Source organism: Homo sapiens, chromosome 16 (assembly GCF_000001405.40).
Source record: "Homo sapiens chromosome 16, GRCh38.p14 Primary Assembly".
NCBI lineage: Eukaryota > Metazoa > Chordata > Mammalia > Primates > Hominidae > Homo > Homo sapiens.
In genome coordinates, this window is record NC_000016.10 from 84432149 (window position 1) to 84456875 (window position 24727).

At 49.6% G+C, this 24727-nt stretch overlaps 1 protein-coding gene across 6 annotated transcripts in view; it reads left to right on the forward strand.

Annotated features, from left to right (window-relative positions):
- ATP2C2 (ATPase secretory pathway Ca2+ transporting 2) overlaps positions 1-24727 on the forward strand; it is a 95650-nt gene that overhangs the window by 63611 nt on the left and 7312 nt on the right. For 5 of the 6 annotated variants that reach the window (NM_001286527.3, NM_014861.4, XM_011523486.3 and 2 more), the window contains 10 exons: positions 7018-7142; positions 7279-7376; positions 8709-8810; positions 10362-10451; positions 14181-14282; positions 16385-16541; positions 19773-19943; positions 20990-21087; positions 21173-21223; positions 22670-22836. In NM_001286527.3, the coding sequence (NP_001273456.2) occupies positions 7018-7142; positions 7279-7376; positions 8709-8810; positions 10362-10451; positions 14181-14282; positions 16385-16541; positions 19773-19943; positions 20990-21087; positions 21173-21223; positions 22670-22836 (1161 nt within the window). Of the gene's footprint in view, positions 1-620; positions 832-7017; positions 7143-7278; positions 7377-8708; positions 8811-10361; positions 10452-14180; positions 14283-16384; positions 16542-19772; positions 19944-20989; positions 21088-21172; positions 21224-22669; positions 22837-24727 lie in introns of those variants that run through there. The other variant, XM_011523487.3, reaches the window with a different exon arrangement.

A 24727-nucleotide genomic window follows, 5' to 3' on the forward strand; every position in this document is an offset into this window, starting at 1 on the left:
TGGTGTTTCGTTACGTGAATAAGCTATTTAGTGGTGATTTCTGAGATTTTCATGCACCCATCACCTGAGCAGTGTACACTGTACCCAATGTGTTGAGACTCACATTTCTTTTGTTTGCTTTTTTATTTTTAAATTTTTCTTTAAGTTCTAGGATACATGTGCAGAATGTGCAGGTTTGTTACATAGGTATACACGTGCCATGGTGGTTTGCTGCACCTACCAACCCGTCATCTAGGTTTTAAGCCCCACATGCATTAGGCATTTGGCCTAATGCTCTCCCCCGAACCCCCCGACAGGCCTGGGTGTGGATGTCCCCCTCCCTGTGTCCATGTATTCTCATTGTTCAACTCCCACTTAGGAGTGAGAACATGCCGTGTTTGCTTGCTTGTTTTTGAGATGGAGTCTTGCTCTGTCCAGGCTGGAGTGCAGTGGCGTGATCTTGGCCCACTGCCACCTCCATCTCCTGGGTTCAAACTATTCTCCTGCCTCAGCCTCCCAAGTAGCTGAGATTACAGGTGCCTGCCACCACACCCAGCTAATTTTTGTATTTTTAATAGAGATGGGGTTTCACTATGTTGGCCAGGCTCATCTCGAACTCCTGACCTCAGGTGATCTGCCTGCCTCTGCCTTCCAAAGTGCTGGGATTACAGGTGTGAGCCACTGCGCCTGGCTGAGACTCATATTTCTAACAAGCTCTCAAGGGTGCTAACACAGGTGGTCCAGGGAGCACCCTCTGAGCGTGAGGCTGTGATTCGACACTGTCCCCTGAGAGCGGGCTCCAGCAAGAACAGGACCAGGAAAGAGGCCAAGACACCCGAACAGCATTCTCAGGTGACTGAGCCTTTGGAGGCAGGGGTGGCGGCAGGGAGGGAGACATTTGAGCCTCAAGGAGGCTGCCAGAGAACACAGGACTCTCAGAAGACAGAATGCTTAAAATCTTCCCCAAGTAGGCTGGGCACAGTGGCTCACACCTGTAATCCTAGCACTTTGGGAGGCTGAGGCAAGAGGATCCCTTGAGCCCAGGAGTTTGAGACCAGCCTAGACAACATAGTGAGACTGTCTGTACAAAAACAAATGTTTTGTTATTAGCCAGGTATGGTGGTGCACGCTTGTAGCCCCAGCTACTTGGGAGGCTGAGGCGGGAGGATTGCTTGAGCCTGGGAAGTCAAGGTTTCAGTGAGCCATGATCTTGCCACTGCACTCCAACCTGGGCAACACAGCAAGACCCTATCTTAAAAAACAAAAACAAAAGAAAACCAAAAAACCAAAAAAATCTCCTGCAGATCATGAGTTCAGGAGTTTGAGACCAGCCTGGCCAAAACAGTGAAACCTCGTCTCTACTAAAAATACAAAAATTAGCCGGGCATGGTGGCGTATGCCTGTAGTCCCAGCTACTCAGGGGCTGAGGCAGGAGAATCTCTTGAACCCGGGAGGTGGAGGTTGTGGCGAGCCGAGATCGCACCACTGCACTCCAGCCTAGGGAACAGAGCAAGACTCCGTCTCAAAAACAAAACAAAACAAACAACAACAACAAAACACACACACACACACACACACCCTCCTGCCAATAATGGTGCATCCAATCCCTGTCTTATAAGCCATGAGAAGCTTCATGAGGCAAGAAAGACGATTAAATATTTCCAGAAGAAAAAGCAAAAAAGGCTTCTGTGCTCAAGCCCCAAATACCCCAATTCTCTCCCCACCCAGTGCTATGGTCACTTCCGGTTTCTTGTCCTAACCTCCCTTGCAGCACGGGCATCCCGCTTGATCCATGCGAGTGGACTTGCACGTGGGAGACACTTTCCCCCTCTCATTTGTCATTTTGAAAGGGCGAGGTTTTTCAGTTTTAGTGCCAGATTAAAGCCGCTGAAAGCCACTGAGTCAGAAGGTGGAGATGGCAGCTTAGCCAGCGGAGATTTTCCAAAATAAGTAAAATGAGAGAATCATTTTTTTAAAACTTTAAGAACTTTTTTAAAACGAATTCCTGGGTCGGGCACGGTGGCTCATGCCTGTAACCCCAGCACTTTGGGAGGCCGAGGCGCGTGGATCATGAGGTCAAGAGATAGAGATCATCCCGGCCCACATTGTGAAACCCCGTCTCTACTAAAAATACAAAAATTAGCCAGGTGTGGTGGTGGGCGCCTGTAGTCCCAGCTACTCGGGAGGCTGAGGGAGGAGAATCACTTGAACCCTGGAGGCGGAGGTTGCGGTGAGCCGAGATTGCACCGCTGCACTCCAGCCTGGTGACAGAGCAAGACTCCATCTCAAAAAACAAAAAACAAACAAACAAAAAAATTCCCTATATGTTAAGTGACATTCAAGATGATACAAGGCACTTGCTTTTCCTGGTCCATTCTAATCAATTTTTGTTTTGCTTTTGTTTTTTTGAGATGGAGTCTCTCTCTGTCACCCAGGCTGGAGTGCAGTGATGTGATCTCGGCTCACTGCAAGCTCCGCCTCCTGGGTTCAAGTGATTCTCCTGCCTCAGCCTCCCCAAGTAGCTGGGACTACAGGTGCTCGCTACCACACCCGGCTAATTTTTGTATTTTGGTAGAGACGGGGTTTCAACACGTTGGCCAGGCTAGTCTCAAACCCCTGACCTCAAGTGTTCCATCCGTTTCTGCGTTTCAAAGTGCTGGGAATGCAGGTGTGAGCCACCACACCCGGCCCATTCTAATCTTTATTAGTCTGTGGATTAATTCTTTATTATTATGAATTCATCCAAGTAATACAAAGATGCCCTTCCCCTGCCATATGGGATGAAAGTCCCCGTCGTAACCCTCCACAAATGTTTGCTTAGCTGGTCTTCACAGCCTGTGCCATAAAACCAACGAAGCCTTCTGGCTGTCACTGTAGAAACCGGGCACAGCCCCTTGATCAGATTCTGTAATCTTGGTTTATATAACTTGTCCATGCCTGTTGTATTGTCCCTGGGTGAAAGGTCACCATTCACAACCATTCTATTCAAACTGCCTGTTTTGTAATTGGAATTTGTTGCCAACATTTAATGTACCATATTTCTTTGATTGTGAGATGTACATTCTTTTTCACATTTCAACTCCTCTGAAATCAGATCACTTCTAATAAGTGATGTAATTAGAAAACATGGTGTTACTGATTAATTGGCAGTGTTTATTCTTTTCTGAGCTCTGCCCAAAATAATGGTGCCCTTCACAATCAACTGTCTTAGCTCTGATGAAATGTGGTCTCTCTGTGTGATCCTGGTTGAATGGATTCTCACCAGGTGTTCAGCCAACCCAGGTGGAGTGCTCACTGTGTGCTAGGCCAGCGCAGGCCTAAGCATTGTTATACCCCCTTCTTCATGCAGCAAATATTTACTGTATACCTCCTTGCTTTGCTGGATTTTCTAATGCAGAGGATAAAAACAGCCACCTGGCCAAGCTTGGAGGCTCATGCCTGTAATCCCAGCACTTGGGAATGCTGAGGAGGGAGGATCACTTGAGCCCAGAAGTTCAAGACCAGCCTGGGTAACAGAGTGAGACCTTGTCTCTACAAATCCTTTTTTAAATTAGGGAGTAAATAGTGGTGCATGCCTATGTCCCGGCTACCAGGGAGGCAGAGGCTGGAGGATTGCTTGAGTCCAGGAGGTCAAGGCTGCGGTGAGCCTTGATGGTGACACTGCACTCCAGCCTGGGCGACAGAGCAAGAACCTGCCTCAAAAAAAAAAATAAAAAACAGGCAAGGCACAGAGGATCACGCCTGTGATCCCACCACTTTGGGAGGCCGAGGCAGGTGGATCACTTGAGGCCAGGAGTTCAAGACCAGCCTGGCCAACATGGTGAAACCTCATCTCTACTAAAAATTCAAAAATTAGCCAGGTGTGGTGGCACATGCCTGTAATTCCAGCTACGCGGGAGGCTGAGGCAGGAGAATTGCATGAAGCTGGGGGGTGGATGTTGCAGTGAGCTGAGACTGCACCACTGCACTCCAGCCTGGGTGACAGAGTGAGACTCCATCTCAAACAAACCCAGCCACCCTTGTGTGATATAGCCAGAAAATGTGTTTTGTTTGAACTGTATCTTTTTCATTGGAATTTGTTGCCAACGTTTAAAAATTGGGAGTTTGCATGAAAAAGATACTGGATTTCCAGCTTCTCTTGGGAGCATGGGAGGCCCGGCAGCACTGTGCATTGCTGTGGTCCCTGGTGACTTGGTGGTGGCTCTTTGTTTAGAGGAGGGCCTGGGCTCTGGGATCGCCACGTGGGCTTGCTCGCCCTGGCCGATTTCACGTATTTCCTGGGCAGCCTGGCCCCAGGGCCTGGACCGGGCGTGTCTCGAGGGGCTTCTGCAGGGTCCCTGGCAGTGGCTGTGGGTGGGTTGCAGGTGTGGTGAGAGACAGTGGCCCCCTTCTCCCAGGATGTTTCTGGTATCTCAGATAACAGAAACTCCTCATCACTTCTAGTCCCCTAAATAGTCTCTTTCTAGAAATTGTACAGAGTGGATCCATGCGGTGACAGCACTTGGAGCTCCACTGAAGTCACATCTTCCCCCCTCCTCAGCCTGGCCTCGGGTGGAGGTTTGGTGGGGAGGATCCGGCCAACCTCCCTCACCTGCTCAAAATCTCTCCTCCCCCTCCCCATCGCCAGCGAAGGCTGTTTTTTTTTTTTTTTTGAGACAGACTTTCACTCTTGTTGCCCAGGCTGGAGTGCAATGGCACCATCTCAGCTCACCACAACCTCCACCTCCCAGGTTCAAGCGATTCTCCTGCCTCAGCCTCCCGAGTAGCTGGGATTACAGGCATGCGCCACCACGCCTGGCTAATTTTGTATTTTTAGGAGAGACGGGGTTTCTCCATGTTGGCCAGGCTGGTGTCGAACTCCCGACCTCAGGTGATCGAGGCGCCTCAGCCTCCCAAAGTGCTGGGATTACAGGCATGAGCCGCCACACCCGGCCTTTTTCTTTCTTAAACAGCTTTATTGAGATATAATTCACATATATAATTCATCCATTTAAAGCATACAATTTAATGGTTTTTAGTGTATTCAGAGATATACACAGCCGTCACCACAGTCCATTTTAGAATATTTTATTTTATTTGAGACAGGGTCTCACTCTGCTACATAGGCTGTAGCACAGTGACATGATCATGGCCCACTGCAGCCTCAGCCTTGACCTCCCAGGCTCAAGTGATCCTCCTACCTCAGCCTCCTCAGTAGCTGGGATTATAGGTGCACACTGCCACACCCAGCTAATTTATATATACATATGTATATATAATTTTTTTTTTTGTAGAAATAAAAAAATGTTGCCCAGGCTAGTCTTGAACTCTTGAGCTCAAATGATCTGCCAGTGTGATCCTCCCAAAGTGCTGGTATTATAGGTGTGAGCTACTGTGCCTGGCCTTAGAACATTTTCTTTTTTCTTTTGAGATGGAGTCTCACTCTGTCACCAGGCTGGAGCGCAGTGGCGCAGTCTCGGTTCACTGCAACCTCCGCCTCTCAGGTTCAAGCAATTCTCCTGCCTCAGCCTCCTGAGTACCTGGGATTACAGGTGCATGCCACCACACCTGGCTAATTTTTGTATTTTTAGTAGAGATGGGGTTTCACCACGTTGTCCAGGTTGGTCTCAAACTCCTGACCTCAGGTGATCTGCCCACCTGGGCCTCCCAAAGTGCTGGGATTACAGGCGTGAGCCACCACCCCCTGCCTAGAACATTTTCTTATCGCCTCAAAAAGAAACCCTGTGCCCTTTAGCTATCACTCTACATTCCCACCTATGCCCACATCCCAGCCCTAAGCAATCGCTCATCTTTCTTTCTTGTGTAGATTTCCCCATTCTGAACATCCCTTATGAATGGACTCGTGCTCTGAGTGGCCTTCTATGTCTGGCTTCTTCCACTCAGCAGCATGTTTTCCAGGCTCATCCACATGGTGGCATGTGCCAGTGCCTTGTTCCTTTCTTTGGCTAAAGTGTATTCTGCTGTATAGATAGACCACATTTGGCTCATCCATTTGTTCACTGATGGACATTTGGGTTGTCATAGTTTCTTCATGTTTGTTTTTACATTTTTTAAAGGAAAATTTCAAGCCTGTACAAAAGCAGAGAGGATGATAAAGTGAACACCTGTGTAGCCACTACCCAGCTTCAGCAGTGGCCCACTTGCAAACACTCTTGCCCTTTCTACAGCCCACCCCTGGCTATGTCAAACTGGACACCAGGCACCAGGCATCATACCTTTCCACCACTTCAGGAGTGTGGAATGTGGGGCCAGTCAGCCCCGATGTTGTGGAGTCTCAGCCAAAAGGGATAGAAAGAGCCCCCTCTACACATGCTCTCACCTGTTGACACACCCAGAGAAGGGGTATCATGTGCTGCAGCCCCAGTCTCATTTCCAAGAGAGCATCTCACCAGCTCAGCTTGGGTCACACGCTCTCCTCGAATCCAGCCAACCCTGGTTATGAGAGAGTGGGGTCGCACCGTACAGGGAGAGTTGGAGGGGTAAGAAAGAAGTGAGCAGACACCCCGAAACAGATCCACGCAGCAGGCAAGTGTGTCGCTGTGGCCCTTCACCTGCCCTGACCTGGACTTCCTTGTCTGGCTTCCTCATAGGAAGTGTCTACACCACTACACTCATGAAAAGTGAAATTCAAGGGACTCACGAGGACCCCTGGAACCAAAAACTCTTAATCCCACTTACTGTCTGATTTTGGGAATTCCTTTTATGGAACCCAAAGCCTTTTCTCTCTAATAAATGAGAATAATGTCAATGCAAAATACTTTTAAAGAGGCAAAACAGCTGACAGACTAATTCACATTAAGGTGTGGATGACTGACAGGAGAGGTCCCTTCCCAAGAGCGGGGTCTGCAGGGGAGGGCTCAGGACAGTGGGTGCTGCAGAAGGAGGCAGGTGCACCTTAGGATTGGGAATGGAGACTAGAACCAGGACACTGGGGACACCTAAGACAAGCTTCACCAGCCAAAAGCATTGCCAGCCCCAGCTGAGAGTCACACACTCCTTAAATGTGTTAGAGGGGACTCATTTGACCTTTCGATCCAGCCTGGCTGTGGCGGCCATTCCAGAGGGTCTGCCCATCGTCGTCATGGTGACGCTGGTCCTGGGAGTGCTGCGGATGGCCAAGAAGCGGGTCATCGTGAAGAAGTTACCCATCGTGGAGACTTTAGGTGAGGGACTCCAGCTGGTGGAATCCTTACACGTGGAATTGAATGGGGGCTTGGCTGTCAGGGCAATCCAGCCTGGGGGTTTCACAAGCCTGAGGATGGCAACTTCTCTTCTATAAACTGGTGTTTGTTGTACCAGGTTGCTGCAGCGTTCTCTGTTCTGACAAGACGGGGACTCTGACTGCCAATGAAATGACAGTGACCCAGCTTGTAACGTCAGATGGGCTTCGTGCCGAGGTGAGTGCCAAAGGAATTTACAAGCCTTAAGGATGCACCCAGCCAGGCTGTCTCCTTTCTAAACTAAGCACACAATGTCTTCTAGAACACAATAAGGAAGAAATAAATTGGGGTCATCTTATAATCTCCTTGCTAACATGACTGATTTTGTTTTTAATCATCCCATACTTCCTTTTAATAGATATGACCAATTTAAGGTAGCCTCCTTTTTTAGTTACTTATTAATTATAAGCACATTGCAAAATTTAAAAGCTAGAAAAAATCTTCCATACCTTCCACGATAAACTAACCGTGATTAGTCCATTTGTGGTTTGTTTGTTTGTTTGTGAGAGACAGAGTCTTGCTCCGTCACCCAGGCTGGAATGCAGTGGCTGATCTCTGCTCACTGTAACCTTCACTTCTCGGGTTCAAGCGACTCTCCTGCCTCAGCTTCCCAAGTAGCTGGGACTACAGGCATGCCCTAATACGCCGAGCTTATTTTTGTATTTTCTAGTAGAGACGGGGTATCACTATATGTTGGCCAGGCTGGTCTCAAACTCCTGACCTCAGGTGATCCGCCCGCCTTGGCCTCCCAGAGTGCTGGGATTACAGGCGTGAGCCACCACGCCCAGCCTGTTTTATTTTTTAAGCCAGGGTCTTGCTGTGTCGCCCAGGTTGCAGTGCAGTGGTGCAATCATGGCTCACTGCAGCCTCTAACTTCTGGGCTCAAGGGATCCTCCCACCTCAGCCTCCCAAGTCCTTGCGTGTTTTTCAGTGTCCTCTGCGTGCTTGGCGTAATTGGAAGCTCTCTGAATGTGCAATTTTTTTATCCTGATATTTTTTCTACAAAACTGGCCAAACCAAGGGGTGAACAGGTGATGGTCCATGGGCCAGTGCTTGTTTGAAAATAAAGTTTCCTTGGTGTACCACCACACCCATTTGTGTACATATTGCCAATGGCTGCTTTCATGCCTCAGTGTGCCGCAACGGCAGAGCTGAGTAGCCACGACAAAGGTGGTATGGGCTGCAAAGGCTAACACGTTTACCCAGCGCTGTTCTTGGAATAGAAGCACTCTTCTATGCTAGTTCTTAGTTTTCTTAACCATCACTTGTACTGGCTGCAGAGTATCCCACTGAGTCAACTTGCTGCAACTTACTCATGCCTGGTACTGTGTCCATCCATGACGTATCCAATTAATCAATAATCTTTCAGAGAACATCTTCATACTGAAAGCCCTGTCCACGTTTAGGATTGTGTCCCTGGAATGGATCCCCAGGACAGAGATTGTGGGCCAACTGGGGGAGCATGTTTTTGACTCTTGGCGAAACCCTTTCTTCTGCCTCGCCCTGCAGGTCAGCGGAGTTGGGTATGACGGTCAAGGGACTGTGTGTCTTCTACCATCCAAGGAAGTCATTAAGGAATTTTCCAATGTCTCAGTGGGAAAGTTAGTGGAGGTAGGTGTCAAAAGCGCCATGAGGGAAATAGGCATTTACATTGAGGCTTCTGGGGCTCCTCTCTGAAAAGGGAAACAGCCATTGAACCTACTGGTTCTTGACAATGACTGGCCCATCCAGGGGTGAGGCTGGCACAGCACTGAAAAAATGGCCTCAAAAGTGATGGAGACATCAGAAGTAAGACGACAGCTAGGCTGGGCACAGTGGCTAATGCCCGTTATCCCAGCACTTTGGGAGGCCAAGGCAGGAGAATCACTTGAGGCCAGGAGTTCGAGACCAGCCTGAGCAACGTAGTGAGACCCTGTTTCTATTATTTTTTTTAAAAAAATTATTTAAAAAGAAGAGCTAGAAGCCTCTGTACTCATCACTGCCCACTGGGAAGGCTCTAAGGAGACTCCTGCCCAGAGACGTGCCCGATGAATGGTAAAAAGTGAGCCTGTGATGAATTTCCCCTATTGTTATTAGTGAGCCTGTGATGATGTTCCCCTGTTGCTGTGATGAGTCCTGCGGTCCGAGCTGTACTCACCCTTTCACAGGGGCTCCCTCCTCCCCATGTAGCAGGCACCCTTCTTCCTCTGTACAGTTCAGTGAGCGCCACTTGCAAAGGACCTGCCTCCAGGGGCCACTTCACTATCACAGCAAACGCTGTCTTGGTTTTGCAGATTAAAAATCAAAAATATGACCAGGCGTGGTGGCTCATGCCTATAATCCCAGCACTTTGGGAGGCCAAGGCGGGTGGATCACCTGAGTTCAGGAGTTCAAGACCAGCCTGGCCCACGTGGTGAAACCCCATCTCTACTAAAAAATATAAAAATTAGCTGGGCATGGTGGCACACACCTGTAGTCCCAGCTACTCAGGAGCCTGAGACAGGAGAATTGCCTTGAACCAGGGAGGCAGAGGTTGCAGTGAGCTGAGGTCATGCCACTGCACTCCACCCTGGGTAATAGAATGAGACTCCATCTCGAATGAATGAATGAATGAAACAAAAATATGCAAAACTAGTAATAATAAAAAAGAAAAGAAAAGAAATGGGCAGAGAAGTAATGCGAGTGTCCAGGCTCACCAGGCCGGGAAGGAAGAGCGCTGGGAATCCCACTCTTTTTGCTTGTCTCTTTTTCATTTTTTAAATATTTATGTATAAATTGAGGTAGAAGTCATCTACCATGAATTCACCCCGTTAAAGTGCACAATTCAGTGGTTTCAATTTGTTCACAAGTTGTGCAAACTTCACCACTGTCTAGAATACTTTGTCACCCCAAGTGGAAATGCCATCATCCCCATTATCGGTCGCTCCCCGTTACCCCACACTCGTCACCACCCGTGCACCTGCCTCCCTGCTGGGTTCCCTCATGATAACTTTATGGGAACCAACATTCAGCACAGCCAAGAAATAGTCACGATGTTTCTTTTAAAAAGCCGGGACGCTGAGTTGTTTTAAAGAGCAAGTCTTGTCCCCACAACCCCAGCTGTAAAAATGGGACAGGCCCACAATGTCTAACTTTTTCATGAGCCCAGTACTAACTACAGATGTCCGGACAATCCCCTTTTAGGCGGGCTGTGTTGCCAACAATGCGGTCATCAGAAAGAACGCCGTGATGGGGCAGCCCACCGAGGGTGCATTGATGGCCCTGGCGATGAAGGTAGGAGGTCCTGGGGTGGCTCTGCGGGGAATTCTTTCGCTCGGGGCTGGATTCATTGGTAGAAAGCCAGCTCCTGTCTGAGCTAACAGGAGTGGGGACGTTAGGTAATCATGGAAGAAAATGGCCCACACTGGCCTTGGGCCATCTGTTGGTGGTGGAGGAGGTGAGCTCTGAGATTCCACGGGACTTCAGCAAGTTCTGCAGGTCTCTAATCCCTCCACCAGCGATTCCAAAAGAATCCTATGAGCTTCCCTGTGGTTCAGGCCCTGGTCAGGTGTTGAGGCGACAGACAGTGGAACGAGACTCCCTATGCACCCAACACGACCCTGTGCTCACCGAGGCACCACTGGGAGGGGCTGGTTCCTGGGAATGTATTCGATTGACTCCGGGGTTCAGTGTTAGACCCTGAGCTCTGTGGCTGTGCAGGGTTGCCCCAGGCCATTCTGTACCCAGCACCAGGTACCAAGTGGCTGCTTGCAGTGTGGAGGGGATGGGTGGGAGCTGATGGGGGCCTGCTGCATTCTGTGCTCAGAGGACAAGTTAGAAGAAGGAGAGGCAGAAAACATGGGCTGGGAATGCAGGTGACAGGAAAGCAAGGAGAAGAGAGGACAAAGGACATGGGAAAGGAGGGGCCGGCAGAGGTTAAGAGGAGGGAGCAAAGGAAGGAAGAAGGTGGCCCCGGTCAGCTCCCACGTCTGTTTCCATGGCCACTTGGCCTGGGTCCCTCCTCTTCAGCCAGAGCTGGGGCTCCCCTGGACACTGTGGGAGCTCCTTTCCCCGACCCGCTCCGTGCTTTCTGCTGTGTGACTTGTCTCTGACTCGGGTGTGATCAGAACCCTCTCCATCAAGGTCAAGGGAAAAGCCCGACTCAGGGTGCTCATCCCCCAGCACGGACCCCTCGCTGCCGCCGAGCCTGGCCCCTGCACTCACCCTCCCTTCCTGCTTCCTCCTGGACTTTGACCACTCCTGCCTGTTCTCACTGGCGAGTGCCGACTTTCTCTTCAAGTTCACTCCAGTTTCCACCCCAGCAGACACCTCTCCTCATCCCGGGCTCACTTCACTGCCTTGTATTTTCAGCTTACCTGTCCCATCACTGAGCACCAGGGCTCACTTCACTGCCTTCTGTTATCAGCTTACCTGTCCCTCCCTCCAGTGCAAGACTCCAACCTCCCACACCACTGCCTTCCCAAAGCTGGTGCTGGGCGGGGGAGAGGTGGTCGCCCTCTCATAAGCCCCCGTGTTGGTAGATCAGGTGCTTTTCCCCAGTGTAAGAACATTGGAAAGTCATTACAGGCTGAGTGCAGTGGCTCAAATCCCAGCACTTTAAGAGGCTAAGGCGGGAGGATCATTTGAGGCCAAGAGTTTGAGACCAGCCTGGGCAACATAGCGAAAACCCATCTCTACAAAAAATATAAAAATTAGCTGGGCATGGTGGTGCATGCCTGTGGTCCCAGCTACTCAGGAGGCTGAGGCAGGAGGATCCCTTGAGCCCAGGAGTCTGAGGCTGCAATGAGCTATGATCACACCACTGCACTCCAGTCTAGATGAGAGAGATCCTGCCTCAAAAAAAAAAAAAAAAAAAAAACAAAAAGATTGGGCACAGTGGCTCACACCTGTAATCGCAACACTTTGGGAGACCGAGGCAGGTGGATCACCTGAGGTCAGGAGTTCAAGACCAGCCTGGCCAACATGGTGAAACCTCATCTCTACTAAAAATATAAAAATTAGCTGGGCATGGTGGTGCACACCTGTAATCCCAGCTACTCGGGAGGCTGAGGCAGGAGAATTGCTTGAACCCAGGAGGCGGAGGTTACAGTGAGCCGAGATCGTACCATTGCACTCCAGCCTGGGTGACAGAGCAAGACTCCGTCTCAAAAAAACAAACAGAAATCATGACATCGTATTATTTTTCTTCCATTCACAGAAGAGAATTCTCTCTGCAATGTCTGTAATAGTGAATGGAGCTCATTTCCCGTTTTAAAATAGTGCTGAGTCTGCCCCATTCAACAACTCCTCGCCGCCCAGAAGGGAAGGTGCCGGCCTGACCGCCTGGCAGGAATGACACCCATGTGTCACCTTGCTTCCGCCACCAGCCGTCCCTGCAGCCTAGAGAGGAGAGAGGTTCCAGCACCCAGAAGAGATTTCCTTGATGTGTTATAATTTTCCTTTTTCCTGGGGCCTGGCTTAAGATTTTGGAATACAGAACAAACACTGGCTGGCATGTAGGAAGTGCTGCCTGTGTGACAGGCATGGGGCAAGCACTTTGTGGTTCTTACCTGTCTCACCTGCTCTAAATGGCACTGAGGCCAGGCCAGTGGTTCCCGGGCTTTTCTTCCATTATTGCTCCTGGATTAGGGTCTTGGGGTTACTGAAATAAAACACCACTGGCTGGTGATTTAGTGTAACCAAAACACACTGAAACACAGCTCTGTGGCCAGAAGTTGAAATCAAGGTGTGAGCAGGGCCAGGCTCCGTCTCCCAGTTTCTGGGTGTTACTGGCAGCCCCGGGCGTTCCTTGACTCGCAGACGCATCCCTGCCTTGGTCTCTCACACCAAGCTCTGTCTCTGTCACGAGGTGCTCCCCGCCACGCCTCTGCGCAGCGTTTTCCTCTTTTTTTTTTTTTTTTGAGACGGAGTCTCGCTCTGTTGCCCAGGCTGGAGTGCACTGGCTTGATCTCCGCTCACTGCAACCTCCGCCTCCCAGGTTCAAGCGATTCTCCTGCCTCAGCCTCCCAAGTAGCTGGGACTACAGGCGCCTGCCACCACGCCTGGCTAACTTTTTGTATTTTTAGTAGAGACAGGGTTTCACCATGTTAGTCAGGATGGTCTTGATCTCCTCACCCCGTGATCCACCCGCCTCGGCTGCCCAAAGTCCTGGGATTACAGGCATGAGCCACCATGCCCGGCCTTCCTCCTCTTATATCCAGTCATGTTGGCTTAGGGCCAACCCTAATAGCCTCAAATTGACGATATCTGCAAAGGCGCTATTCCAAATCAGGTCACATTCAGAGGTTCCGAGGTTAGGACTTCAACATATCTTTTGTGGGGTACAATTCAACCCCACTAAGGAGATGGTTTAGGCATTTCTTCCCTAATCACCCCACTCCCTCCCCATGAAATTTAATATGGTAGATACACTGTATTGTACGCATATCTGCACTTTCTACGTAAAAGGAGTAGTTTTTTGTGCCCCTGCTGCACCGCATTTTCACCCCCTGTGGGACAGTGGGATGCATGGGTCATGACTGGTTTACACCTGGGGAAACTGAGATTCTGAGTTGTCACATCACTGATCCAAAAGCCACCAAAGAGCAACAAAGGGCCAGGCTGGCAAGGACCCCAGGCTGTGGACGGGGGGCTGGCAAGGACCCCATGTTCTGGACGCAGGGCTGTCTCACTGACTCAGGGGGTTCCGTCTGAGAAATTGCTACACCTTCAAGTCTGAAACATTCCTCCCGGCAGAAACACTGCAGGTTTGTTTCTAAGCAGATTTCAGATAGAAGCTGTTGCAAAGACCGTCTTGTCTGCCCTTCAGCCAAGAGAAGAGACTTTTTTTTTTTTTTCTAGGTGGGACATTCCAAGAGAAATGGCCTTTTTTCTATGTGCTAAATGCTTGGATTTCTTATCTGCCAGAGGTGGTTTGAACAATGAATAATTTAAATGGACTGAGCTTTGTATAGAGATTGGCTTCGGATGACTCACTAAAAATGTGTCATTTTATTATGCTAGATGGACTTAAGTGATATTAAAAATTCATATATAAGAAAAAAAGAGATTCCATTCAGTTCAGAGCAGAAGTGGATGGCGGTGAAATGCAGTCTGAAGACTGAGGTGAGACCTTTCAATCTTCAACCTCTTCTCTCTTTCTGCCCGGGCCCCCACCCAGAGATAAAGCAAAATGCAGACTTCAAGGATAATTTGAAAGTTCCTGGCTGCTTCTGTGACGTTCCAAATACATGGAAAAACTTAATCACCATCATACCTTTGATTCTCTTGGGTCTGCTTCTGGCTTTTTGTTTAAAACAGAAGTTCTTAAAGCAGGGTCCCTGGAGTAGCAGCGGTTGTTACCACGCGAGACTTTATTAGAAATGCAGAATCTCAGGTTCCATGCCAGACCTCCTGAGTCGAAGGGTCCAGGGGTGGGACCCAGTAACCTTCATTTTCTGCAGATTCTGATGCAGGTGCAAATGTTGAGATCGACCAGCCTGTAATCCAGTGACTGAGGCCCTGCTGCTAACACCAGTCGCCAACTTGCCAGTCCTCTCTTTGCAGCCCTGTGCTAAGTTTTTTATACTTCTTAGCTCATCTCCCCGTCATACTGGGGAGCAAATCCTTCAGTACGGAAGGCGTGTCTGTGTGGTGCATCAGCGTGTGCACACGTGTTGTCCCTGGCTAGAGGAACACATACCAAGCTATGGCCACCCCGGGTGGACATTACAGCTGATTTTTAAAATTTTCTTTTCAGATTTGTTGTGGCTTTTCAGATTTTCCTTAAAAGCTATTTTTTAAAGTTTTTGTTGCCTTCTACCGTTTTCTCCACCCCTCCTCTTCCCTCCCACTCTTTCTAGAATCTATCATGTCTGCCCACGCAGACTGCTCAGCTCCCACTCAGGGCTGTGGGCAGCTCAGCCAGCTCATGCCAGGCCCTTCCTGTGCATGGATGGACACATGTACATTTCAGGGGCTTAGAAGGGATTATAGATTTTCAAAAAACTTTTAGACCTTTAAATCTTTTCCCTTGCAAGGCAATGGTAATATATTCTCATTGAAAAAGTATAGAAATATGACATAAAAATGAAAGCTTCTTTCATTCCACCCTTCTTCCCTCCCTCCCCACCACCCACCCAGAGGTAATTCTATTTTAAGTCTGGGATGGAGCATTGCAGATTTTAAATATGCAAACGACAACATCTGGATGGTATTTTCAAAACAAGGTCACTATTTATAGTGTGTGTAATTTGCTTTTTCCCCCTAAGATTTTCTTTTAATATTATGTCTTAGATGTCTGTGTTGGTTAATATAAGCTTGTTATATTAACATATTAATTATATAATATGTAATATATATTACATATATTACATATATTATTTAATATATATTATGTAATATATATTATAATTGTATAAGAATATATTAGTTATATATAATATATAATATACATATAAATAATATAATGTAATATAATACATATAAATAATATACAATACATATGTACTATAATTAATGTATTAACATCTGTAATTAATATTATATTTATTAATAACATTAATATGTTAATTACATATTAATAACATATATAATTAATATTATATTATCTTATAACAGTGTTACATTCACACTGTGCACCCACGTGAGCCAGGTATGTCCGGTATTGAGGCTAGGGGTACAGTGTGACTCTCACTGACCCAGGGCCTCCCCCCGTGGAGTTCATAGTCTACATGTTTGTCATGACAGAGCTTAAGAAAAACACAGGAAAAATGATCAGCTACTCATGTGGCTTCACTATTACAAGCCAAGTGCTGGGGGTGGGTACAAAATAGACTTGGTGCTGCCCTAGGGAGGCAACAGTCTAATGGAAATATTCCCAGTTAATCACACCCCCAAAGGCACAGTCCCAGCTGGGATGATACCTCCCGTGCATGAAACATACAAGACGCTCTGAGTGACCATAACAAGGGAACTGAAAAAAGAACAAGGGTAGTACAGGTTGAAGATTGGCCTTGTTCTTTCTCTGGACTGCAAAACGTTCCATGGATGGATTCTAGAACTTCGCGAACCTGTCCAGCACCTGTGAACAGCACCAGCCTATGATAAATAACTCCGCTGCAAAGATCCCCGTGTGTGTCTTTGTAACCTTGTGCAGAGTGGGGTGATGGTCAGTATGAACCAAGGCTTCCAGTGATAGTGGATTTCTTCCCTTTGTCTTTTCTAAGGATCAGGAAGACATTTACTTCATGAAAGGGGCCTTGGAAGAGGTGATCCGCTACTGCACCATGTACAACAACGGGGGCATCCCCCTGCCGCTGACGCCCCAGCAGAGGTCATTCTGCCTGCAGGAAGAGAAGAGGATGGGGTCGCTCGGTTTGCGGGGTCAGTGCCTGTGGTCCCGGCCCAGAGCTTTAAGCTTGCATGTAACATTGACTTTTAAGTGCATTCAAGCAGGGTCCCTAGTCAAGGAGGTCACCCGTCCCAAGGAGTCAGGCAGCATGCTGACGGCAATAATGTGTGCTTGGAACCTGATGGTCACATGAAAGGCACAGAGGTCCCCACCTCATCCCAGTTCCTTAGTGACCCCCATTAATCCAGAGAAGAGGGTACCCTCCCTTGCTGAGTTTCCTAAGGCAGGTGAATGGGCTGCACCCCAAACATTGATTTTCCCAATAGGTCTTTTTGCTCATTGCCTCTTGTCAGGAAAACCCGAAGTTCTTTTCAGTCAAGGAACATATTTTTTCCCTTAGCCATTTTCAATTTTCTGCAGCAGAGCCAGTGCCATCCCTGATGGGCTGAACTGAACATTAAATCTCACATTTCCCTTGGTGTCATTTGTCACCCTGGCCAGTTACAGAGGAAGCGTTTAGAAGTGCTCCTGAGCACTGGTATTCCCTTGGGGGAAAGTGAGAGGCTTTGGGTTGGCCTTACTGGCTCAGGAGCCTTGGTTTTCCCCTTCGGGGAACAGAGTTTGTAGGTTGCTGGCAGGCTTGCTCAGAGGTGTACGGGGCGAGACCCTTGCGGCTTTCTGGGGCACAGTGAAGCCAGCGCCGAGCACGTGTCCCCTCTTCCCGAGTGAGGGGAGCGTTCCCCAAAGCATTGGCACTTTGCCCCCCCAAATGGTTTGTGTTGCGCTGGGTCTACAATAGGCTTACAGGTAAATACTGTGCCTCAGTTTCCCCATATGCCTAAGGAAGGCAGGAGAGCAGTGACTTCATTGATTGCTGTGAGGATTGGAAGAGACGGTGAATCCCATCTTAGCTTGCCCTGAGCCTTGACTCTGTTTCGGTGGCAGAGAAGCCAGGCCCAGCTTCTGCGAGCCAGGTGATCTGAGAGGGGCTGGTATAAGAAGGTCCTTTTCACCTCGCTGACACCAGCGACGGGGCTGTGGCGTCCCTCCTGCACAGTGGAGAGATTGGGAGACAATCTGGCACGTGGGTGGCAGCTGCTTTTGTCATGGTTGATACGACCAAGCCATTCAGTAGCTCCCTGTTCTTGTCACATCACGCCTCTGCTGACGAAATGGCTCACTTAAGAGTGGACACGTTAGTAAGTAAACATCCCACGTGGCACTGGCCTCTAAATCTGCACCTGGCACTTGGGCCCCACTTGTGTGCTGGGCACCAGGTTAAGTGCCTGTGTGAGGCCACGCCCTGAATCCCCACCGGGCAGAGGAGCCGGCCCAGGTGACACAGCCCTGCCTAGTGCAGCCAGCGCCTTCGCCCGGATGTCTGCTGCGGAGCGTAATGACGCGTTCCAGGGACTTGCTCCAGGCCTTGCGGGAGAGCGTAATGAGAACGGGTCAGTGGCGGAGGAGCAGTGAGACCTTTTCCTGTCTTCCCCCAGTGTACACGCAGGTCCTTTTTTGTTTACAAATGGACTTGTCTTCCACCTGTGGCTGGGAAAACTACAACCTGGGAACTGGCCTTAGAGAAGGCCTGTGCGTTTTTCCAATCTGTGTTTAGTCTGGGATGTTATTCCTCAGCAGGTGACCGTGGACTGATGCCTGCTGCCTGGCAGGCCTGGGACAGTGCCCGAGTGACTTAGAGAGGCCCCCAACCTGCTAGATCCCCTGGAGTGGCTTGGGCTTTGAGACCCCCCACCCCACATGCATCCAGGGGAAGATGAAAAACCCCACGGAGAGGGAAGGAGAGTTGGGGTGAGGGGAGCACGGAGGCAGGAGTATCCTCTTGGGATAGAGCGCTACTAGGTGGCCACTAGAAGCAGGGGATGCTCCTGGGTTGGCAAAGCCCAGGTTCAGGGAGGGGAGGGGACCATTGGAAAAGGGGAGGAAGGGCGCCAGCGTCATTGGCGCAGTGTCATGACTGTGTAGGAGGCATGCCAGCCCCATCTTTGGTGTCAGTGAGGGGGCAAGGATGTTCTTACACCACCCCCTCTCAGATCACCCAGGGGCAGGAGCTGGGCCTGGCTTCTGTGCCACAGAAACAGAGTCAAGGCCCAGGGCAAGCTCACAGCAAGAGTCCCCTCAGCTGGGTTGCTCCCCTGTCAATTTTTCTTAACCTCTGTACCGCGCCCCCAAGACTGCTGGAGATGACAAGATGAGTTAGCACAGAGCAAATGAGGGCAAGAACTGTTAGAAACGTCCCATCCTGCTCCACCTCACATGTCCCATTCTGGGCCAGCTCACAGGTTTCTGCAGCCACTTTTGTTGGGAAGTGGGGTGGGTCTTATACCATGAGTGGTGTATTAGTTTATTTTCATGCTACTGATAAAGACAGACCTGAGACTAGGTAATTTACAAAGAAAAAGAGGTTGAATGGACTCAGTTCCACGTGGCTGGGGAGGCCTTGCAATCATGGCAGAAGGTGAAAGGCACGTCTTACATGGCAGCCGGCAAGAGAGAATGAGAGCCAAGCCTAAGGGGAAACCCCTCATAAAACCATCAGCTCTCCTGAGATGTATTCACTACCACAGAGCATTGTGGGGAAAACCACCCCATGATTCAATTATCTCCCACTGGGTCCCTCCCACAACACGTGGGAATTATGGGAGCTACAGTTCAAGATGAGATTTGGGTGGGGACACAGCCAAACCATATCAAGCAGACAGCAGTGGTATTTTCTGCTATGCAGCTGTTTCTGGCTTCCTTCTCCATCTGTTGTGCACCTGCGCAGGCCTGAGAGCCGCTGGAGGCATCTCTGCCCTCCCTTTCAGGCTAGGGACTTGTTGCCTGAGCCCTCTGCAGACCGAGGAGGATCTGGGCCATGGTGGGGGCTGGCTAACAAAGGGCTGCGCACGTTGCCTCACACCTGTAATCCCAGCACTTGGGGAGGCTGAGGTGGGCAGATCACCTGAGGTCAGGAGTTTGAGACCAGCCTGGCCAACATGGTGAAATCCTGTCTCTACTAAAAATACAAAAATTAGCTGGGCCTGGAGGCGCATGCCCGTAATCCCAGCTACTCAAGAGGCTGAGGCAGGAGAACGGTTTGAACCCAGGAGGCAGAGGCTGCAGTGAGCCAACATTACACCACTGCACTCCAACCTGGGCGATAAGAACAAAACTCTCTTAAAAAACAACAACAACAACCAACAACAAAAAACGACGGCCCCTAAGCCCCCGGTGACCCCTCCTTACTCCCCCTCTCTCCTCAGTGCTGGCCCTGGCTTCTGGGCCCGAGCTGGGGCGGCTGACGTTTCTCGGTCTTGTGGGCATCATTGACCCCCCGAGAGTTGGCGTGAAGGAAGCAGTCCAGGTTCTCTCCGAGTCTGGTGTGTCTGTGAAGATGATAACGGGGGATGCCCTGGAGACGGCCTTGGCCATAGGTAACTGGGACAGGGTCGGGGGTGAGGACGAAAGGACCCATCCATCCTTTACGATGGGGGGCTGCTACCAAAGGGAAGCCTCCGCAAACTCGGTCAGGAGTGCTCACGCCTAGCCCTACAGGCTTAGAAAAGACGCTGAGTATTCGTGTGCCAGCATTCCAATTTCTGAGGTGTTCTCGTTTCTGAAATGTTGGCAGGTTCTGCAAAAGGGAAGTTCTCATGGATACTGAGGACCTACTGTGTGTCAGGGGCTTTTCATCCGCTGTCTTCACAGGCAGCATCATGGCCATGTACAGTTTCAGTCTGCCTTCTGCCTCTAGCTGTGTACCCTTGGCAAACCATTGAACCACTCTGACCCTCAGTCTCTTCATCAATAGAGGGCTAGCAGCCCTTCTCCTCTAGTTACTTTTTTTTTTTTTTTTTTTGAGATGGAGTCTTGTTCTGTTGCCTGGGCTGGAGTGCAGTAGTGCAATCTTGGCTCACTGCAACCTCCACCTCCTGGGTTCAAGCAATTCTCCTGCCTCAGCCTCCTGAGTAGCTGGGACTACAGGCACCCACCACCGCGCCCAGCTAATTTTTTGTATTTTAGTAGAGACGGGGTTTCACTGTGTTGCCCAGGCTGGTCTTGAACTCCTGAACTCAGGGAATCTGCCCACCTCGGCCTCACAAAGTGCTGGGATTACAGGCATGAGCCACTGCGCCCAGCCCCTCTAGTTACTATTATATGGGTGGTCTCAGCCTGGTGCTGGGAAAAGGTTCACGGGCTTTGGAATCAGAGCCGTGTCAGGTTCCAGTGTTACTCCTTACCAGCTGTGTGTCCTCGGCAAAGTCACTTCTGTTTCCCCATCTTTAAAGTGGGGATAATGAGGCGTTTGGTGTAAGTTAATCCTGTGGATAGAACCGAGGCCGTGCAGCATGGTAGGTCCTCAGTAAACCGTCTCCAGCATGGTTTTATTCTTGGTGTTCCCCATGGCCGAGGTGGGGCCGGGAGTGAGGGGTGGGGACGCGGGCCTCAGAGCAGGCCCTCAGAACAGGTTCTTCTGAAGGAAGAAACATCGGCCTGTGCAACGGGAAGCTGCAAGCCATGTCCGGGGAGGAGGTGGACAGCGTGGAGAAGGGCGAGCTGGCCGACCGCGTGGGGAAGGTGGGTCCCCGGAGGCTTGGCTGGCAGTGGGGCTGGGTCACAGCTTTGAAATCTGATTCTTCGTCTTCCCCGTCTCCGTGTCCAGGTGTCCGTGTTCTTCAGGACCAGCCCAAAGCACAAGCTCAAAATCATCAAGGTTCGCTGGGCAAGGCAGGCACAGGCTGCGCTGCTGGGGCCGGGCCAGAGACACTGTGGCTCGAGGAGCTCATGCGTCCGTCGGGTGACAGTGCAGGGCCCGACCGTGGCTTCCTTCTCTAGGTCCAGGGCAGCTGCCCCGGGAGTTACCTTTTCATAGCCAGGGGGAGGGGAGGAGGTTGAGCAGGGGCGCGTGGGCAGCTCCCTTGGAGAGGACGAGGCTCTGAAGTTGCCAGCAACACTTGCGCTGACAGCCCCTTGGCCAGAACACAGTCACGGGCCCAGGTTTAGCTGCAGGGGATGCTGGGAAGTGTCATCTGTAGCTGGGCGGACACGAGCCCCACCAAACCTGGGGATAATTTTAAAGAAGATGGGAGAACTGGGGGACCTTTGCTACATACAGTGAAAACTGGGAGCTGTAATTGGATAACGTAGAGGGAAAAACTAAAAGAGAAGCTATCTTTTTTTTTTCTGGGGGTGGGGTTGTAGGTACGGAGTCTTGCTCTGTCACCTAGGCTGCAGTGCAGTGGCACAATCTCGGCTTACTTCAACCTCTGCCTCCCAGGGTTAAGCGATTCTCCTGCCTCAGTCTCCCCAAGTAGCTGGGATTGCGGTGTGCACCAGCACACCCGGCTAATGTTTGTAATTTTAGTAGAGGCAGGGTTTCGCCATGTTGGCCAGGCTGGTCTCAAACTCCTGACCTCAGGTGATCCGCCTATCTTCGCCTCCCAAAGTGCTGGGTGCTTTTTGGCTTTATTCCTTTTACTCAACTCCGTGCCTCCGTTTCCTCATCTGTAAAATGGGGGAACTATTAATGCCGTCAGCTGATTCACAGGGTTGGTAGAGAATTAAACAAAGCCAGGCCCATGAATCTCTTGGCACACAGCAGGAGCCCAATAAAGAGCTGATGTGATTTTTCTGACTCTGAATACCAAAAAAAGGTAGAAAATGTGCTTGGTTTTCTCGCCTGTGCTCTGAAAGTTTGCTCTTGAGCTCTTTTAGTAGACGGGCTTTCTTCTTTCATGTTATTTTTAGCTCTACAGAGTAAATCCCTATGTGAGTTACTCCTCAAAGAAGGTAGTAATACTTACCAGGTACCCCATGGTTTCCAGGGCCGCACTGTTGATTACTGTTTATTACTGGGACTGGATAACCTTTATGAGCCTTTACTGACCGTGCTGGGCACCGTCACATCCGTCATCTCAGTTTGGGCCTCACAACAGCCCTGGGAAGAAGAAACTGTTGCTCCCACTTTGCAGATAGGGAAACTGAGGTCAAGAGGGTCAAGGGCTCGCCCAATTCCCACAGCTAATGTGGGTGAAGCTGGGATTCGAATTCCGGGTGCCCTCCAGACAGAGGTGTCTGTGGCTGGCCACAGGGTGTGCATGGCCGGGCACTGGGAGGTGGTCGTCAGGCTGCAGGCCTTCATTGCCTGCTCTTTCCAAAGGCTCTGCAGGAGTCAGGGGCGATCGTGGCCATGACTGGGGATGGGGTGAACGACGCAGTGGCCCTGAAGTCTGCAGACATTGGGATCGCCATGGGGCAGACAGGGACGGACGTCAGCAAAGAGGCCGCCAACATGATCCTGGTGGATGATGACTTCTCAGCCATCATGTAAGCTGCCCTTCTGGTTGTTTTTCAGTTGCAAAAATGCCTGGGGTCACCAGCTTCTCCCTGGAACCTGCTACTGTGGAGATAGAGGGGGGGGTCTCGCGGAGTCCCCAGGGAGAGCTGAATCTCGGGGCTCGTCAGTGTGGCAGGTGCCCCCAACCCCAAGTACCAACAGCCTCTCATAGCAGGGTCATGGGGTCCATGATGCCTGGGGCTAGTCACATGCTGCCCCCAGGGGAATGTTACGGATATGAAGCAGAGATGGGATTTGCTGCCTGTGGGTGCATTTCATGTGGTACTGGGAATGCCCGCCTGGCTCAGGCTGGTGGGCAGCAGCTGAATATGTAAGGAAAACCTGTGGCCAAATACGTGCTCACACTTGAGTGTGGGGTGAGAAAGGATTAAAATGAACATCTTCCGTTTGAGGCCTGCGTGTTGATACATATATCTCAGGCATTGCAAAGAGACCTGGGCAGAAACACCCCCATCGCTGACCACGGAGGTGCTCTCTAGGTTCTGGGGCTTGCACAAAACTATTTGTTCTGTTTCACTTTTCTGTATTTTTTTCTTAATACATTTACCTTCCTAATTTTAATTAGTTCTGAGACTCTCCTCATAAGCTAATCGCAGTGGTTAGTTGGGGGTGAGGGAAAACTTTTTAAGCCTGATACAAAAAATCCAAATAAACAAATATTGAGGCTAGGTGGATCGTGCACTTTACAAAGGTGTCTCCACAGTTGATTCGCCATAGGAAGCCTTAACACACTTAGAAAAAAAAAAAAAAGTCATAGATAGCTCTTATTATTTTGAAATACGTCCCATCAATACCTAATTTATTGAGAGTTTTTAGCATGAAGGGTTGTTGAATTTTGTCAAAGGCTTTTTCTGCATCTATTGAGATAATCATGTGGTTTTTGTCTTTGGCTCTGTTTATATGCTGGATTACATTTATTGATTTGCGTATATTGAACCAGCCTTGCATCCCAGGGATGAAGCCCACTTGATCATGGTGGATAAGCTTTTTGATGTGCTGCTGGATTCGGTTTGCCAGTATTTTATTGAGGATTTTTGCATCAATGTTCATCAAGGATATTGGTCTAAAATTCTCTTTTTTGGTTGTGTCTCTGCCCGGCTTTGGTATCAGAATGATGCTGGCCTCATAAAATGAGTTAGGGAGGATTCCCTCTTTTTCTATTGATTGGAATAGTTTCAGAAGGAATGGTACCAGTTCCTCCTTGTACCTCTGGTAGAATTCGGCTGTGAATCCATCTGGTCCTGGACTCTTTTTGGTTGGTAAACTATTGATTATTGTCACAATTTCAGAGCCTGTTATTGGTCTATTCAGAGATTCAACTTCTTCCTGGTTTAGTCTTGGGAGAGTGTATGTGTCCACAGCCAATATCATACTGAATGGGCAAAAACTGGAAGCATTCCCTTTGAAAACTGGCACAAGACAGGGATGCCCTCTCTCACCGCTCCTATTCAACATAGTGTTGGAAGTTCTGGCCAGGGCAATCAGGCAGGAGAAGGAAATAAAGGGTATTCAATTAGGAAAAGAGGAAGTCAAATTGTCCCTGTTTGCAGACGACATGATTGTTTATCTAGAAAACCCCATGGTCTCAGCCCAAAATCTCCTTAAGCTGATAAGCAACTTCAGCAAAGTCTCAGGATACAAAATCAATGTACAAAAATCACAAGCATTCTTATACACCAACAACAGACAAACAGAGAGCCAAATCATGAGTGAACTCCCATTCACAATTGCTTCAAAGAGAATAAAATACCTAGGAATCCAACTTACAAGGGATGTGAAGGACCTCTTCAAGGAGAACTACAAACCACTGCTCAAGGAAATAAAAGAGGACACAAACAAATGGAAGAACATTCCATGCTC